Consider the following 17,169-nt stretch of genomic DNA (forward strand, 5'->3'; position numbering starts at 1 on the left):
AATTGCTTGAGCCCGGGAGGTGGAGGTTGCAGTGAGCCGAGATTGTGCCATTGCACTCCAGCCTGGGCAACAAGAGCAAAACTCCATCTCAAAAAAAAAAAAAAAAAAAAAAAAGGCACCTTACCTCGATAGTCTTCCTCCCAAAAACCCCTGAACTCCACGTTATCCATGAGGACAACAACAGACAAAACCAAACTGAGGGGCAATCTACAAAGTACCTGATGAATACTTTTCAAGACTGTCATAAGCAAGTAAAGTCCGAGAAACTGTCACAGACCAGAGGAGGCTAATGAGACATGACTGCAAAATGTAATGTGGTATCCTGGGTGGGATTTCGGGATAAAAAAAATAACTTTGGGGAAAATCTAGTTAAATAAGAATAAAGTATACAGTTTAGTTAACAGCAATGTGCCAATATTGACTCCTTAGTTGTGACAAATGTACAAGAATGATACAGGATGTTAACAACGGAGACACGGCGTAAGGAGTACGCAAAAACTCTGTACTATCTTTGCAACTTTTCTGGAAATCCAAACTATTCTAAAATTAAAAGTTTAAATTAAAAGAGGAGAGGACAATTATTGCTAGCCACATCCTTCCTCAGGGTGTATATCTATGCCAAGAAAGCATCCTGCCTCCGGAAACAAAGAATTGGTACCTCTACAGCCTAGTGCTTAATTTGAACCAATTATGTGGGTGGTCAGGAAGGAGTTGTGAGAAATCAGTTCCCCTGTCCAAATCTTCCTGCTAGCTCAGCGAAGCCTTCCAAAGGAAGCCTTCCATTCTGGCTGTCCTGGCCACGCCATGCATCCCACCCCAGCAAGCACCATGGTTCATAATGACAACAGTGCCCACCCAGATGCTGCTGAGGATTACCAGAAGGCTTATTCTCTGGACCTGTTCCTTCTGGGTCTTGAACCCTGGCTCTGTTCTTGACCTTCGTCATTTGCTTTTGCCACCACCACCATTCACCTTGTTTTAGTGACTAATTCAGACCCCTGACTCTGGTTCTCTGGTCTCGGGTCTTCTCTTTACTCAGCTCTGCACAATCAATCCCTTAATTTCTGTACCACCTAGAGCTGCAGGTGGGAGATATTCCTTCCATCCTTCTTTACTTTTTCAACTAGCCCAAGCCCAGCTGGGTCTCAGCTGGAAGGAGAAGGAGTGGACACTGTGTAGCATTTTTTTTTTCTTTTGAGACAGCGTCTCGCTCTGTCACCCAGGCTGGAGTGCAGCGGCACGATCTTGGCCCACTGCAACCTCTACCTCCCGGATTCAAGCGATTCTTGTGCCTCAGCCTCCCGAGTATCTGGGATTACAGATGTGCACCACCATGCCTGAGTAATTTTTGTATTTTTTTTTTTTTAGTAGAGACAGGGTTTCACCATGTTGGCTAAGCTGGTCTGGAACTCCTGGCCTCATGTGATCCACCTGCCTCAGCATCCCAAAGTGCTGGGATTACGGGTGTGAGCCACTGTGCCCGGCCCGTCTCCCATTTTCATGAGTGGTCATGGTGGTGGTTTTCCGCCTGCCATATCACAGGAAGCCCTGAGTGGGAGCAGAGGGGGAAAACCAAGCCTCCTACCCTGCCAATCAGGAAATCCTGAAACCCTAGCATAATTCATTACCTTATATAGCTGGGGGGAATGGGGAAGCCCTTTCTCTAGCAAGTCACCTCACCTGGATCTATAATCTGGGCACGAAGTGTAATTTTATTGCTGTGCCCCCAGCACTGTCTTGCTACATTGCTAGCAGGTTATGCATAAAGACAAGGCCTCCTGCATACACTCTCTCACTACCTCTGTGTAGTGAGGACTTGTCTGCAGGCCTGGGTTACAAAGCACAGGAAGGGTTGCACAGAGCTGGCATGGCTGGAGCTACCACAGTGGCAGAACCTGGGGCAAGGATCTGGAAGTCAGTGGAATTCCAAGGTTTTCGGAAGGATTAAGAGGTCTACCTTAGGAAGCCAGGAAATCTATTCTTTTTCTGTTTTAGAGCTTGCCCTCCATCTCTATAAAGCAGTGTTTCTCAATTTGTTTTTTGTTATCACTGCCCCTAAAGGGGAAGAGTTAATTAGGTTTAAATGCTCCCTAAAAGAAAAATTAAATACTAAGGAATAGGGCTGAACTTTGTGGGGGCCACAGACCACTATAATATTTAAGATTTTTTTTTGGCCTCCCTACCCCAAGAAGCAATTTACGTCCTTTTGAAGGTGATATTGGCTCTTTTGAGAATGCATGTTACAGAAGGATGGTACTCTTGCTGTGAACGTTGCCACCCACCAGGTGAACTCTCTTCTTAGACTTTCTCCTGCTTGCTTGTATTCTTTGTCTTCTTAATCCATAAGGATGAGTTCATCTGCAAGTCACAGGGATTCAAATTAAACTGCCTGACACCATAAGGATGTTTATATTCTACAAAAGAAGTCTGGATTTAGATGCAGTGGCTCGGTGATGCCACCAAAGACACAGGCTCTTTCCATTTATCCACTCAGCTATCCTCAGGGTAACCGGAATGTCTCCACTCATGGCCACAAGATGGCTGCAGCAGCTCCAGGCATTGGTCCACACATGATTGCATTTGAAAGGAAGGGAAAAGAGACAAGCAATGAACAATGAAGAAGGAGCAAATGACTCTCTGGTAGGCAACTGATAGTGGCTGACACTTCTCTCTCTTTTTGCTTATTTCCTCCTTTCTTTGTCATTAAACTAGCATCCCCCAAATCCACGTGTACATCAATGTGCATCAAAGTGGAAAGGATCATTGCCAGGAGCACTCTTGGTTGACCTCATGCAAATTACTACCTCTGGGCCTCAGCTTCCTCACTTTTGAAGCAAGGGTGGAAGACTAGATGCCCTTTTTAATGTAAACTTCCTATTGAAGTAGAACATAAAGGCTCACAAACCATAAATATACTGCTTGAAGAATTTTTTTTTTTTTTTTTTTTGAGACAGGGTCTCACTCTGTCACCCATGGTGGAGTGCAGTAGCATGATCTCTGCTCACTGCAACCTCTGCCTCCTGGGCTCAAATGATCCTCCCACCTCAGCCTCCTGGGTAGCTGAGACTACAGGCACACACCACTACGCCCAGCTAAGTTTTTGTAGAAACAAGGTTTCACTATGTTACCCAGGCTGGTCTTGAATTCCTAGGCTCATGCAATCTGCCCACCTTGGCCTCCAAAAGTATTGGGATTACAGGCATGAGCCACTGCACCCGGCCTGCTTGATGAATTTTTACAAAATAAAACAAAAAACAAACAAACAAACAAACAAACAAGCCCACAGATCAAAAAACAAATACCCCAGAACTCACTACCATTCTGTTTTCTCACACTGCACGTTAGTTTTGCCTGTTTTTTAGCTTTATATAAATGGAGTCATACAGCAGATATTCTTTTATATCTAGCTTGTTTCACTCACTATTGTATTTGTGAGATGCATTCACCATGTTGTTCCTTCATTCTGTTGTGCAATATTCCATTGTGTGAATGTATCACATTTATTCACGCATTACACTGTTGACAGCCATGTGACTGGTTTCCAGTTTTCGCTCTTACAAATAGCACTGCTGAGGAGATTCTTGGATCAATCTTTTGGTAAATGTATGCACGCATTTCTACTGTGTTCTGAAAGTAGAACTGCTGGGCCATATCATGTGTGAATGTCCATGTTCCAGATGCCTTTTTTTTTTTTTTTAAGATGGAGTTTCACCCTTGTTTCCCAGTCTGGAGTGAAATGGCGCAATCTGGGCTCACTGCAACCTCCACCTCCCGGGTTCAAGCAATTCTCGTGCCTCAGCCTCCCGTGTAGCTGGGATTACAGGCATGTGCCACCTCACCTGGCTAATTTTTGTATTTTCAGTGGTGATGGGGTTTCACTATGTTGGTCAGGCCAGTCTCAAACTCCTGACCTCAGGTGATCCACCCGCCTTGGCCTCTCAAAGTGTTGGGATTACAGGCATGAGCCACCGCACCCAGCCTTCAGATGCCTTTTAAGGATCACTCCTCGTGATGGAATCAAACACTCTCATGGAGGCACACAGCCAGTAAGTAGGTTTTCCATTCTATCCAAAGAATCACTGTTAATAAGACTCAGTGCCCGTGGTTCCAGTACTTGTCAGTTCCATATCTTCTCCAGCCCAACCTCTCTAATGGGTAGCCCTCACAAAGGAATACACATCCATGCCCAAACTCCATACACCTGTGCCTGCTTGTAAAGAAAGCCAGGTAGCACGTATCCTTCAGTGATGGCAGTGAAAGGTGTTTCTATAGCCAGATGTGGCCCAGCTACTAGGAGCCTTCAGGGTAGGCCAAGGTTTTGAGGGCTCTGGAAAGTATCCACTCCTCTGTGATCTACTTCATGACCAGACTTATGAAATGAAACTATTGGCCGGGCACGGTGGCTCACGCCTGTAATCCCAGCACTTTGGGAGGTCGAGGCAGGTGGATCACGAGGTCAGGAGATCAAGACCATCCTGGCTAACACGGTGAAACCCCGTCTCTACTAAAAATACAAAAACAAAATTAGCCGGGTGCGGTGGTGGGTGCCTGTAGTCTCAGCTACTCAGGAGGCTGAGGCAGGAGAATGGCATGAACCCAAGAGGTGGAGCTTGCAGTGAGCTGAGATCGCGCCACTGCACTCCAGCCTGGGTGACAGAGCGAGACTCCGTTTAAAAACAACAACAATAACAACAATAAAAAAAAATTATCAACAAATAGGTTAGTTCATCTGAGCTCTTTTCTTAAAATTTTTTTTTAATTTAATATTTTTTGTGGGCACATAGTAGGCATATATATTTATGGGGTACATGAAATACTTTGATACAGGTATACAATGCATAATAACACATCAGGGTAAATGGGATATCCATCACCTCAATCTTCCCTTATATTTTAAGCGCCTGGTAGATGCTCACTAAAATAATCATAAAAGTTTAGGAGCAAAAGGACCTTGTAATGTAATTTTCTAATAGAAAATTGCTTTCTAAGCAAGTTTTCAAACAGGATATTTATTTAAAGTAAGCACTTAAAGGTTTGGAATGTCAATTTATAGTTTAGAAAAATGGAAGGATCTTGGCTGGGAGTGGTGGCTCACGCCTGTAATCCCAGCACTTTGGGAGGCCAAAGTGGGCAGATCACTTGAGGTCAGGAGTTCAAGACAAGCCTGGCCAACATGGTGAAACCCTGTCTTTACTAAATATACAAAAATTAGCTGGGCGTGGTGGTGCGCGCCTATAATCCCAGCTACTCGGGAGGCTGAGGCAGGAGAATCGCTTGAACCCAGGAGGCAGTGGCGACAGTGAGCTGAGATTGCACCACTGCACTCCAGCCTGGGCGACAGGGCGAGACTCTGTCTCAAAAAAAAAGAAAAAAAAAAGAAAAGAAAAATGGAAGGATTTGGATGGATTCATGCTAGGTTAAAAGAGAGAGAGAAAGGCTGGCACGGTGGTTCACACCTGTAATCCCGGCACTTTGGGAGGCCAAAGTAGGCGGATCACCTGAGGTCAGGAGTTTAGACCAGCCTGGCCAACATGGCGAAACACCATCTCTACTAAAAACACAAAAATTAGCTGGGCATGCTGGTGTGCGCCTGTAATCCCAGCTACTCCGGAAGCTGAGGCAGGTGAATTGCTTGAACCTAGGAGGTGGAGGTTGCAGTGAGCCGAGATTGCACCACTGCACTCCGACCTGGGTGACACAGTGAGACTCTGTCTCAAAAAAAAAAAAAAAAAACAACGAAAAGAAAAATGGAAGGATCTTGATGGATTGATGCTAGGTTAAAAGAGAGAGAGCGAGCAAGAGAAATGGAAGGAGCTAAGAGAACAGTGTTTCTCAAAATATAGTCTATAGACCAGCATCAGCGTAAGCATCACCTAGGAGATTAACACTTTTTAAATTAAAAATTAATTTAAATTAAAAATTATTCCAGGCCTCACTCCAGAAGCAGAATCTCTTGATGTGGGGCCCAGAAGTTTGCATTTTTACAAGCTCACAATTGATTGTTAGGCACCCAAAGTTTGAGATTTGGAACACTAACTCCATGACTGTACTGTATAACTCACTGCATCAGGGTCTCCATGCTTTGCAAGCCAGGAGCTCTTCTATATGGAGAGATAAAATGATGCTATCATTCACCCACAAGCCCCTCTGCTGGTTCAGTAGCAAGTTCCAATTTCTTGTTAGCAAAACTGTTCAGATCCTGGACTCAAGTGGACCTTGTTTCTTTCCTGGGACATCATTGGCTGAATTAAATTGTCCACACAATTTTGTCTCTGTTGGGGATTGTGCCTTCTCACTTGCCCCCCTTGTTTGATACAGCCCTCTGTGGCTTGCGACATGTCATCCTGAATGCTCTCTGAAAACGTCCTTTGTCCTCACCAGCCGTCCACTTCAGAAGTGGTGGTGTTATTCTGAGGCAGGGCTTGGGATGCCATATAGAATAAAGCTATGATTGTACTAAAAACCACCAGAGGATAAGCGGCTAACACAAACATGAAGAAGGCCTAAGCACATGCTGTACCAGGGGAAAGAATGAGCGAATGATGCATTGAGACTGCTTTGTTTCTGAGGTCTGGGTGCTCACAGGCAGCCCCAATACGCTTGCTAGTGAGGTCGATAGGATTTGTTTGGTAAGCGTACTAAATTCTGGGGCCCAAAGCCCTGTCTCCTGAAAGGTGCCAGCCTAAGTGTCTAAGATTCCTTATGAATTGGGAGGGCTCCATGCTGTGTTCTTGGGTTCTGGTGGCATTGGGGACCTCCCTCGCCCCTCATGCACACACATACATCTACTATCTTCCTCAGAGCTCAACCCTAGAAATCCAAGCTTCCCTCCATAAGTTCCAACAAACACCACAGCCTTCTGCTCTGATGGAGAAACGTTACACGTTTCCTCCTTACCACCATGCTGCTTTTAAAACTTTTAGTAGCCTGTAATCCCAGCACTTTGGGAGGCCAAGGCAGGCAGATCACTTGAGGTCATGAGTTTGAGACCAGCCTGGACAACATGGTGAAACCCTGTCTCTACTAAAAATACAAAAATTAGCCGGGCATGGTGGCACACACCTGTAATCCCAGCTACTGTGGAGGCTGAGGCAGGAGAATCGCTTGAACCTGGGAGGCGGAGGTTGCAGTGAGCTGAGATTGCGCCACTGCACTCCAGCCTGGGCGACAGAGCAAGGCCCTGTCTCCAAGAAAAAAAAAAAAAAAAAACAAAACCTTTTAGTAGAAGCAAAGTCACATGCTCTGGGACACTTATATTATTTCAGTGACAATTTCCCACCACAAGGAACACTGAAATACCACAGGAAATGGTGAATATGAATGGGCAGGGCTGGGCTAAATTTCATCGTGGAAACTTTCTACCAAAATACTTTCCATACAAATTCACTTTCTTTAGTTTTGATGACTACCCACTGGATATTGTGGCCAGCTGCTATCGACCAACCAGGAAACTGGAAAATAAATAAATAAACTGTAATCAACTATTTCATATGGCCTTTTAGGAACTCTGGGTCTGGGTCCTTTTTTTGGTGGGAGCATAGAAAAGTGGTACTCCAATCTAAACTGAGCAAATGGAGGACTTTGGAGGTCAATACACACACACACACACACACACACATATACACACATATATATGTACACACACATATATATGTATATATATATATATTTTTTTTTATTTTGAGACAAGGTCTCCTTCTGTTGCCCAGGCTGAAGTACAGTGGTGCAATCTCAGCTCATTGCACCCTCAACCTCCCAGGCTCAAGCAATCCTTCCACCTCAGCCTCTTGGGTAGCTGGGACTACAGGTATGTGCCACCATGCCGGACTAATTTTTACATTTTTTATAGAGATGGGGCTCTCACTATGTTGCCCAAGCTGGTCTTGAACTTATGGGCTCAAGTGATCCTCCCACCTTGGCCTCCCAAAGTGCTGGGATTACAGGTGTGAGGCACCCTACCTGGTGTGTATGTGTGTGTATATATATGTATATTCAACCAGACCCTACTCAGAATAGTAAAGCATATTTAATTACAAAAACTCTTTATTATTTCATAAGAATAGTAGAGAAAATCTGACAGAAAGGGAAAGGAAGGTAGGTAATTAACATTTAGGGAGCACCTATTTTATGCCAGCACTTTGCTAGGACTATGACATAAAGAATGCTATATAACTCTCACAACCATCTCATAAGGTATTATTACCTGCTCTCCATTCTCCTCCTTTTTAGGTTAGGAACAGGTTCACTGAGGTTAGTAACTTGCTCATGGTCACCCACTTGTAGTGACAAAGCCGAATTCAAATGTGGTTCTTTTTTCACTTTCCCCTGGTGTACTAAAGAGAAAGCTTGTATAGAGTCTTAATCCATACGGATGTCCATTATATTTAAGGCAGCCTGGTTGTTAAAATAAGTAGCACCATTCAATAAGAAAAACCGATGTTATACATCTATAGATGTATATACTCATTTCTAGAAATACTCATTTCTAGTTATATTGTGCTATTCATTTTCATGCTAATTCAGAAGAACAGATAATAGGGTCTGTAGTAGTTGTAAGCAGCCCTTGAATGTGAAAGTGTTAACAATTTTAATCCAACTCCAAGAGGACCAGAACTTGGCATTCCTTAGATGCAGCATTTAAAATTGTTCCCAGTGCCCTTTGAATGCTACTTTTCCCAGCCAAGGCAGGCTTATGTGGAGGAGATAAAGATGATAGCTTGAGGACTAAGGGTCCAACCCTATATAAATTACATTGGGGGAAATAGGGGAAGGTCTTTGAAGCTCAGAGTCTCTGACTGATATTTTGGGTAGATTTCAACCCTCTGCATTCTCTTCTATTTGTTTCTAGAGAAAACTGTGGTAGAGGCCTTAGTGAATCCCAGAGTCAACATCTGTCATCACCTTTTAGCAGGTAAGGCTAGGCAAACCTTTGAGTTTGGAATGGGTAGGGAAAATGTGGTCCCTCACGATGAGCCTCCCTACCCATTACTTTGCTAGAGGGACTGAAAACCCTTTAAAGACTTGGCCTTGGAAACAGAAGATCTAGGGACAGGTAAGGTGGAAAAAGGAGGTGAACCTACACCCCAAAGGGCTGGAAGTAACACCTTGACTATTTGCACCACGCCAGCAAATAAAGCTGAGAATCAGCTCAGCCCAAGGCCTGGAAAGGAAGCACAAATGCATGAAGAATAACTTGAACCTCATGGTTCTTTCAAAAGTCTCTTCGGCCAAAGTGTGAGTTGAAGAGTCGCATATCATTTGAGACTCTCTACTCATGCTCGCTGTTCTGAGGTTTGACTTTACACAAATCCAGCTCAGCTGCAGAAGCAAGCCACAATGGGGACCTCAGAGTGAGCCTGAAGACTCCCCACACCGCCTCTTTGAAGTCCCTTCCAGGTTCCCCACCCGATGTCCTCTAGCTCATTTGAGCCTTGTCGCCCTTTATGCTATTCTTCCGATATGGGTCGTAATTCCGTCTATCTAGGGTTCTTCCTGCGCGTGCCTTAGAGGCCAGAAGACCCTGACTCACGTGCGTGTCCTCAAAGCCCCCAGCCCCAAGCGTGGCTGCTGGTGGGCGCATCAGTAAACGCGGGTGGAACGGAACAGGCTCCTCCAACCTCTTTTCCACCTCTGATTTCCGTTAGACATTTGCTCCGCACGGCGGCCTCCGCGAGGCAACGTTGGACACTGGGAGGACAGCCGCAGAGGCCCAGGGCGCACTTCCTGCCGGGCGGGGGCGGGGCCGCGCCTCCTCCCTCCCTCCCTCCGTCCTTCCTTCCCCACGTGCCCCTTCCCCGCCCTCCCCGCCCCCTCCCGGGCGGCCGCGGCGCCTCGGGGGCGGGGCCGGAGCGGGTGGGCGGTGTGGCTGTGTGGGCTGGGCGCCGCGGCCGTGCTGCCAGCGGACCCGCGGCGGGCTCGGGCGCGGAGCGGGGGCGCGCGGCGCGGAGCGGAGCGTCTGAGCGCCGGCAGAGACCAGCCGGCGGGTGGCGGCGGCCCCCAGCACGGCCGGTGCAAGGCCTCGGGTTAAGCGGCGGCCGAGCGGGGCTCGGCCCGGGGTGCTCGGGGAGCTCGCCGCGGCGGGCAGCAGGAGGAAGCGGCGGCGGCGCGTCCCGAGCGGTGCGCGCCATGGCGGGCGGGCCCCCCAAGGCCCTGCCGTCCACGGGGCCCCACTCCCTGCGCGACATGCCGCACCCGCTGGCCGGCTCCAGCAGCGAGGAGGCCGTGGGTGGTGACAGCACGCCCAGCCCGGACCTGCTGATGGCCCGCAGCTTCGGTGACAAGGTGGGGCGCCTGGGGCCGGGGAGTGGGAGGCTTATTTCGCTCCCCGTGGGGGGGATGATGGATCCGGAGCCTTCGTGGGCCTGGGGCCGCGCCCACCCTGCCGCCCCTTCCCGGGGGACGGGCGTGTCCTGGCCCCGGAGCCCTCGGCGAAGCGTCTCCTCTGCCGCCTCCGCGGGGTCGCAGCCGCAGAGGGACAGGCTTCGCTGCCTGTGACTGGTCGCAAGCACCGGTGACAGCTGGTGGGGAGGGGTCCAGCCTGCGTGTTGGAGCGGGAGGCGTGTGTTCAGGGCAGGGCGCCTGTGTCCTCGGATGGGGTTCCGAGTTCCTCCAGGTGCATCCCTGCAGGCTGAGCTGCTGCATAACTTGTAGCTCCTCCAGTTTCCGAGACTGCACAGAAAGCAGGAGTTCCTGGCTTTCCGTGCTGGGACCGGGCAGCCCTGGGCTTACAGCGAGAGTCTTCTTCCCCCTAGTCAGTCATGTGGGGAGTGATCTTTGTTTAGGTTTGCTGTTTGTCCTGAGGAGTCACCTGACTCAGACCCCAGCCGGCGGCGGGAGGAGAGCCTCGTTGTGGTTTTCTGTCTGGGGCTCCATTCACCTCCGACGGCCTACCACTCTGTTTAGGTTTGGCAGAGGCTGGTTTTGTGGTTGATGGAAAGAAAGCTCGCCCTTTGACCTTCTTTGTACGGAGGGAGGCTCCAGATTTTCTTAGAGCAGCACAACCCTCCTGCTGCTTGGAGAGACAGCAGAGTCCAGGCAGGGGTAAGGGACGACCTCCTCCCTACCCCCATGGCCATTTCAGCTGTGAAGGAGACTTGAGCAGTGATTGTATCCCCGCTCCTGCCGTCACTTAGTCACTAACTGCAGAAATTAGAATTGTTCTCAGGTCTTGTGATCAAGATTTTCTCTCCCTAGTAAAATACTAAATGAATTCCCCCTTGTCCCAATATTAATGGGAGCAGGGGACCTAACTTTCTTCTCCCGTTAGAGGGGACACCATGTGGTACAGTGAAAAAGGAGTATGAGAAAATATAACCTGCCCTCCTTGCAGTCAGAAGGTCACTGAGCACTTAAAATCACTAGAGAGTGCGACTTGATGTACCTTCTGCAGAGGGTTTGTGAAAGCAGGGAGTGAAGTTCCAAAGCATTAGGAACAGGAAAATTAAAAAAGCTAATGGAGGCCAGGTGCAGTGGCTCACACCTGTAATACCAGCACTTTGGGAGGCTGAAGTGGGATGATTGCTCTGAACCAAAAGTTTGAGACCAGCCTGGGCAACATATCGAGACCCCGTTTCCACATACGCACACAGCATGGTGGCATGCACCTGTAATCCAGGCTACTCAGGAGGCTGAGGCGGGAGGATTGCTTGAGCCTGGGAGTTCAAGGCTGCAGTGAGCTATGATTGCACCGCTGTACTCCAGCCTGGGCAAGAGAGTGAGACCCTGTCTCCAAAAAATGTTGAATAACTGAATAAATTTGCTTTCTTATCGACAAAAATTGGTCTTAAAATAGTGTAGGAACTGGGGGTTAAACCTCATTTCCTTCTCAGTTCTGTGTGGGACACTGAATTAATTATCTATTGCTGTGTAGCAAATTACCCCAAAACTTATCACCTGGAAATAGTGTCTGTGGGACAATCTGAGTGGTTCTGAATTAGGCCTTTCTTGAGGTTGCAGTCAAGTTGTTGGCTTGGGCTGCAGTCATCTGAAGGCTGGATTAGGGGAGGATCCACTTCTAAGCTCACTCACATGGCTGTTGGCAGGTCTTAGTTACTCTCCATAGGGCTGTTTGATGTGGCAACTGGTTTTTCCCCCCAGAGCAAGTGATCCAAGAGAGCTCAAGACTCTAGCCAGTCTTGTATAACTTATCTTGGAAATGACATGCCTCTGCTGTATTCTGTTGGTCACACAGATTGACACTGGTACAATGTGGGGAGAGGGTGTGAATATCAGGGTGTGTATACCAAGAGGTGGGGATCATTGGGCCATCTTGGAGACTGGCTACTACAGATAGCCATTTAAAATATTTACCTAACGATTCACTCATGGATGATACCTGACTCAGAAGTATGAGCATTTTACTAATAAGCACTTGGAAGACAAATTCCCCGTACCACCAAGATCTGGTTAGTGGTGAAGAAGTCAGTCTCAAGTCTAATTACCGATGGCTTCCTTTAAAGGGTCTGTTCTGTGTAGGAGGGAGAGTCTTGAAGGCATTATTAATTATTGAATATATATGTATTTTTTTGAGCAGAGACTTACTCTGTCACCCAGGCTGGAGCGCAGTGGCCTGATCCTGACTCACTGCAACCTCCACCTCCCTGGTCAAAGTGATTCTCGTGTCTCAGCTCCCGTATAGCTGTGATTACAGGCGTGTGCTACCTTGACCAGGTAATTTGTGTATTTTTAGTAGAGACGAGGTTTCGCCATGTTGGCCAGGCTAGTCTCGAACTCCTGGCTTCAAGTGATCTGCCCTCCTCGGCCTCCCAAAGTGCTGGGATTACAAACATGAGCCACTGTGCCTGGCCTAATTATTGAATATTTAATGAATCTCCTAACAGCTGTGGGGAGCATCTAAATGACACCATTCTCAAGGGCCTGATTTATAGTAAGCCACTTTTCCTTAGAGGCTAAGCATTGTAATTTCTTTCTCTGACTAGGAGTAACATTTTCCTTGAATCTTGGCATACACGTATGGTCTCATAACTCTGAAGAAATTTCTGTAGAGAGAAGCTAGCAAGCCACAGAGGTGAGTCAGAGCCAGAAGAAGGAAGCCTTCCCTGTGGCTGGCTTTCTCCTACCTCAGCAGCATGAGGGTCATCAGAGGGGTGTTAGGACAGTTCAGTGCTATGGTCTGTCTTTGAAAAGAAGCCAGTTTTGTCTTGTTAGATACTGGGGTTGTGATCCTGGATGACAGGGATTCTGCGTCAGTTCTGGGCCAGGGGAATGAAGGTTTGACAGGCTGGTCATAGTACAGGGTTATTATGCAAAGGGGAATTGCTTTCTGAGGGCCCAAGATGGTGCGATGAACAGGGTAGCCTGGTGTCTTGGTCCAGCTGACGCTTGTGAATGAACTCTGTAGTGCTTGGGTAGAAGAGAAAGACTGAATATGATGGACTCTCCACCAATTTCTCAAATTGTTCAAATCATGGTGTGATGCCTCCCTTCATAGGCTCCCAAAGGAGGAATCCTTTCTATCTACCAGAGGTTGCCAGGACTAATTCTTTTGATGCCTGCTAAACTCACTGGGCCTTTTTTTTTTTTTTTTTTTTTTGAGATGGAGTCTCACTCTGTTGCCTAGGCTAGAGTGCAGTGGTGCAGTCTCACTGCAACCTTTCCCTCCTGGGTTCATGTGATTCTCCTGCCTCAGCCTCCTGAGTAGCTGAGATTACAGGTGACTGCCACCACACCTGGCTAATTTTTTTATTTTTAGTAGTGATGGGGTTTTACCATGTTAGCCTGGCTGGTCTCGAACTTCTGACCTCAGATGATCTGCCCACCTCTGCCTCCCAAAGTTCTGGGATTACAGGCGTGAGCCTCACTGGACCTTATATGGCTATCTCCATCTAAAATGTAAATACATCACTTAGCCTTACTCTCCTTTTTTAACTTTCATCTGTAAATTGCTCCAGGCTGCTTCTCCTCTGACTCAGCCTCTAACTTCTGTACCCCTCCCAAAACTTAATACTGGATTCTTAAGCCCCATTGTGTGGCTAACACCTCCTCCCACATCCTCAATCTCTTCTCTGAACTCTTCATCTACTTCCTGCCTCCTTAGGTCACTTAGACGTCCTCTGAAGTCTTCAAAATAGAGAAGGCTTTTCCTCCATCACCTTTTACAAACCAGGCTCTGCTCCTTTGAGGCTCCTGTCATTCTTTTTGTTCATTTGATACATATTTGAGGGCCTACTATGAGCCAGGCACTGTTCTAGGAACTTGAATAAATTAGCTGAAAACCCTGCCCTCACTGGATACATTTCAGCAAGTTTGTACTGTATTACACCATAAATGCCATGGAAGGAGGAAAAAGGAGAACTGGCCGCGAGGAAGAGGATTTGGCAGGCCTTGTTGAGTACTTGATATTTGAGCAGACTGGAAGGAGGTGAGGGAGTTAGTGGGTGAGTATCTGAAGAAGACTGTCCGGGGAGGGACTGCCTGAAGCAGAGGCCGGAAGGCACAGGGCTGGTGTGTCGGGGAGCAGCCTAGAGGCCAGTGTGGCCAGGTAGAGTGAGCATTGGAGAGTTAAAGGCTGGGGGCAGAGAAGGGAGGGGTCAGATTATATTGAATGTGGCCGGTCACCCTGAGGACTTTGGCCTTTATTGCTAGGGCCATGGGGTGGGAAGTTAACATGGGCAGGGGACATTTCAGGGTCTTGAGCAGGAGGGGGGCATAGTTTGATTATATATTGAAAAGGATCACATAGGCTGTTCAATTGAGACTACCTTGAGCATTCCCCTGAATTAGTTAGGATTCTTTATTAGTTAAAAAGACATGAGCTGAATGCAAACTAGATAGAGGAAAATAAAAATCTACTGGCTCACGTTGCTGAAAAGGCCCAGGTATTTTGGCTTCAGGGATGGCTGGAGCAAGGTATTCCAGTGATGTCGGGGATCTGTCACTTTCCATCTCTTGGCTCTGCTTTCTTCTGTGTCAGCCTTGTTCTCATGCCAGTGAAGGGATATGTTCTATAAACAAGCTTCCCAGCTCCAGCAGAAGGAGAGCACTCCTTTCCTGATAGTTCTGGCCAAAGCTCTGGGCTGGTGTCTCATTGGTCTAAATTGGGTCAGGCGCCTAAACCAGTCTCTGATTCTGATTGCGCAGACTTGAATCAGGTACTTATCTTTGGAATGAGGAAAGGAATTTTTTTAAAATTGGGGAATATATACATGAAGTTTATAACAATGTGTGTATATAAAGAGTAAAAGTTATCTGTACAGTTTAAAGACTAATAAAATGTTCCTACCCCCAGATTAAGATACAGAATATTACAAATATTTTGGAAGCCCCCTCTGTGCCTGGGAAGGGAGGAGGTGGTTGCCAGAGCAAAATCAAGAAATGTTAGACAAGCAGGAAACAAATATCCACTACAGACCTTCCAATACTGTTTTCTTTGTCATTTTCCAACTTCACACCTTCTCACTCTCATTCATTAAATCTTTAGACCCCAACTTACTGTCTTCTGAAATCATGTCCTCACCACGGGGCTTTAATCATTCACATGGCTGATCTGTCCAACTCTCCAAAATTACCAGTTTCTTGACCTCCTTATCTGTAATCATCCTTTTTTTTTTTTTTTTTTTTTTTTTTTGGGATGGAGTCTTGCCCTGTTGCCCAGGCTGTGGTGCAATGGCACGATCTCAGCTCACTGCGATCTCAGCTCACTGTAACCTCTGCCTCCAGGGTTCAAGCGATTTTCCTGCCTCAGCCTCCTGAGTAGCTGGGACTACAGGTGCCCACCACCACGCCCAGCTAATTTTTGTATTTTTAGTAGAGACGGGGTTTCACCATATTGGCCAGGCTGGTCTCGAACTCCTGACCTCAGGTGATCCGCCTGCCTCGGCCTCTGAAAGTGCTGGGATCACAGGCGTGAGCCACTGCGCTCGGCTCCTTCACCTTTTTAACAGTTCATCTGCTCTCTCCCACGGCCGCACCCTGCGTTGTAATACCTAGAAGCATTCCAGCTCTGAAATAGTGCCACTGGATATTATCACATTTTATTGTGTTTATTTAAGGTATACAACTTGATGTTATGGGATACACATAGATAGTAAAAGTTTACTATAGTGGAGCAAATGAACACAGTCATCATCTCATAGTTAACTCATTTTGTTTTTGTGGCAAGAGCATCTAAATTGACTCATTTAGCATGATTGTCAAGTACAGTACAATTTTATTATTAATAACTCTAGTCCTCATGTTCTACATTAGATCTCCAGACTTGTACACTCCTCCATATCTGCTATTTTGTATCCGTTTACCTACATCTTCCCATTTCCTCTCCCACCTGCCCTTGGTAGCCACTATTTTGTGTTCTTTCTCTATATATTTGAATTTTTTTAAAGATTCCATATGTAAGTGAGATCACTCAGTGTTTTTCTTTCTGTGTCCGGCTTGTTGCACTTAGCATAATTTCCTTCAGGCTCATTCACGTTATGGCAAATGACAAGATGTCATTCTTTTCTGGGGCTGAATAATATTCAGTTTTGTGTGTACACACACAGTACAGTTTCTCTATCTGTTCGTCCATTGAGGCCTGCTTAGGTTGTTTCTATATCTTGGCTATTGTGAATAATGCTGCAGTGAATGTGGGAGTGCAGATATCTTTATGAGGTGTTGATTTCAGTTCCTTTGGGTATGTGCCCAGAAGAGGGATTGCTGGGTCATATGGTGGTTCTATTTTTAATGTCTTTAGAAACCTCCATACTGTTTTCCATAATGGCTGTACCAATCTACATTCCTAACAGCGTTGTACAAAAGTTCCCTTTTCCCCGCGTATATCATTTTGTCTTGCTTTCCCGTCCTGGCTTTCCAGGTCTCTGAGTCATTAACAACTGACTATACCTGTTCTGTTCTGTGACCTCTTGGATTCCCCTACCTCCTTTAGATTCTGTGGCCCATCTCCGTGGTTGCTCCTGCCTCTATATTCAGTTCCCTTGCTCTCTTCTTTTTATACCCAGCTTGGATCATTCCATTTGTTCATGTCTTTCATCTACAACCAGGGTTCTCAGGAAGCTCAAGGGTTGCTGCCAATGTAAGTTCACAGGTTTCAGCCACAGCTGGGGCTTCAGTGGTCCTGGACACTCCTTCTTTTCCACAGACCCTCCGTCTGCACAGTGGCTTATCTGAAACTTTTCTCTGCTCCTCATACCCTCTACCCTTCTACTCCACCCT

At 46.9% G+C, this 17,169-nt stretch overlaps 1 protein-coding gene and 1 long non-coding RNA gene across 10 annotated transcripts in view, besides 8 other annotated features; one reads left to right on the forward strand and one right to left on the reverse strand.

The window, feature by feature from the left end:
- Positions 1-8,007: 8,007 nt before the first annotated feature.
- Positions 8,008-9,689, reverse strand: SNX30-DT (SNX30 divergent transcript). 2 transcript variants are annotated; one of them, NR_186502.1, is made up of 2 exons: positions 9,530-9,689; positions 8,008-8,394 (listed from the first exon to the last, which is right to left on the reverse strand). It is a non-coding gene; the product is annotated as an SNX30 divergent transcript (long non-coding RNA). The 2 variants fall into 2 exon arrangements; NR_186503.1 differs by having other exon boundaries at positions 8,008-9,689.
- SNX30 (sorting nexin family member 30) overlaps positions 8,847-17,169 on the forward strand; it is a 136,047-nt gene continuing 127,724 nt past the window's right edge. For 7 of the 8 annotated variants that reach the window (XR_007061301.1, XR_007061302.1, XR_007061303.1 and 4 more), the window contains exon 1: positions 9,884-10,281. Coding sequence is in view for 2 of the 8 variants with exons in the window: in XM_047423393.1 (XP_047279349.1) it covers positions 10,126-10,281 (156 nt within the window). In the remaining 6 variants the exon portion in view is untranslated. Of the gene's footprint in view, positions 8,912-9,883; positions 10,282-17,169 lie in introns of those variants that run through there. The other variant, XR_007061307.1, reaches the window with a different exon arrangement.
- Positions 9,642-10,461: a silencer, noted in NCBI's record as "silent region_20195". NCBI's record gives its function as "represses an Ori minimal core promoter by ATAC-STARR-seq in GM12878 lymphoblastoid cells {active_cell/tissue: GM12878}" and the evidence as "EXISTENCE:reporter gene assay evidence [ECO:0000049][PMID:35858748]".
- Positions 9,642-10,652: a biological region, named in NCBI's record as "H3K27ac hESC enhancer GRCh37_chr9:115512887-115513808".
- Positions 9,731-10,652: an enhancer, noted in NCBI's record as "H3K27ac hESC enhancer chr9:115512887-115513808 (GRCh37/hg19 assembly coordinates)". NCBI's record gives its function as "activates a minimal SCP1, AML or CMV promoter by ChIP-STARR-seq in naive H9 embryonic stem cells {active_cell/tissue: H9 hESC(naive)}" and the evidence as "EXISTENCE:reporter gene assay evidence [ECO:0000049][PMID:30033119]".
- Positions 10,653-11,572: an enhancer, noted in NCBI's record as "H3K27ac hESC enhancer chr9:115513809-115514728 (GRCh37/hg19 assembly coordinates)". NCBI's record gives its function as "activates a minimal SCP1, AML or CMV promoter by ChIP-STARR-seq in naive H9 embryonic stem cells {active_cell/tissue: H9 hESC(naive)}" and the evidence as "EXISTENCE:reporter gene assay evidence [ECO:0000049][PMID:30033119]".
- Positions 13,703-14,317: an enhancer, noted in NCBI's record as "NANOG-H3K27ac hESC enhancer chr9:115516859-115517473 (GRCh37/hg19 assembly coordinates)". NCBI's record gives its function as "activates a minimal SCP1, AML or CMV promoter by ChIP-STARR-seq in naive and primed H9 embryonic stem cells {active_cell/tissue: H9 hESC(naive and primed)}" and the evidence as "EXISTENCE:reporter gene assay evidence [ECO:0000049][PMID:30033119]".
- Positions 13,776-13,865: an enhancer, noted in NCBI's record as "active region_28829". NCBI's record gives its function as "activates an Ori minimal core promoter by ATAC-STARR-seq in GM12878 lymphoblastoid cells {active_cell/tissue: GM12878}" and the evidence as "EXISTENCE:reporter gene assay evidence [ECO:0000049][PMID:35858748]".
- Positions 14,318-14,931: an enhancer, noted in NCBI's record as "H3K27ac hESC enhancer chr9:115517474-115518087 (GRCh37/hg19 assembly coordinates)". NCBI's record gives its function as "activates a minimal SCP1, AML or CMV promoter by ChIP-STARR-seq in naive H9 embryonic stem cells {active_cell/tissue: H9 hESC(naive)}" and the evidence as "EXISTENCE:reporter gene assay evidence [ECO:0000049][PMID:30033119]".
- Positions 14,967-15,646: an enhancer, noted in NCBI's record as "H3K27ac-H3K4me1 hESC enhancer chr9:115518123-115518802 (GRCh37/hg19 assembly coordinates)". NCBI's record gives its function as "activates a minimal SCP1, AML or CMV promoter by ChIP-STARR-seq in naive H9 embryonic stem cells {active_cell/tissue: H9 hESC(naive)}" and the evidence as "EXISTENCE:reporter gene assay evidence [ECO:0000049][PMID:30033119]".

Source organism: Homo sapiens, chromosome 9 (genome assembly GCF_000001405.40).
Source record: "Homo sapiens chromosome 9, GRCh38.p14 Primary Assembly".
Lineage (NCBI taxonomy): Eukaryota > Metazoa > Chordata > Mammalia > Primates > Hominidae > Homo > Homo sapiens.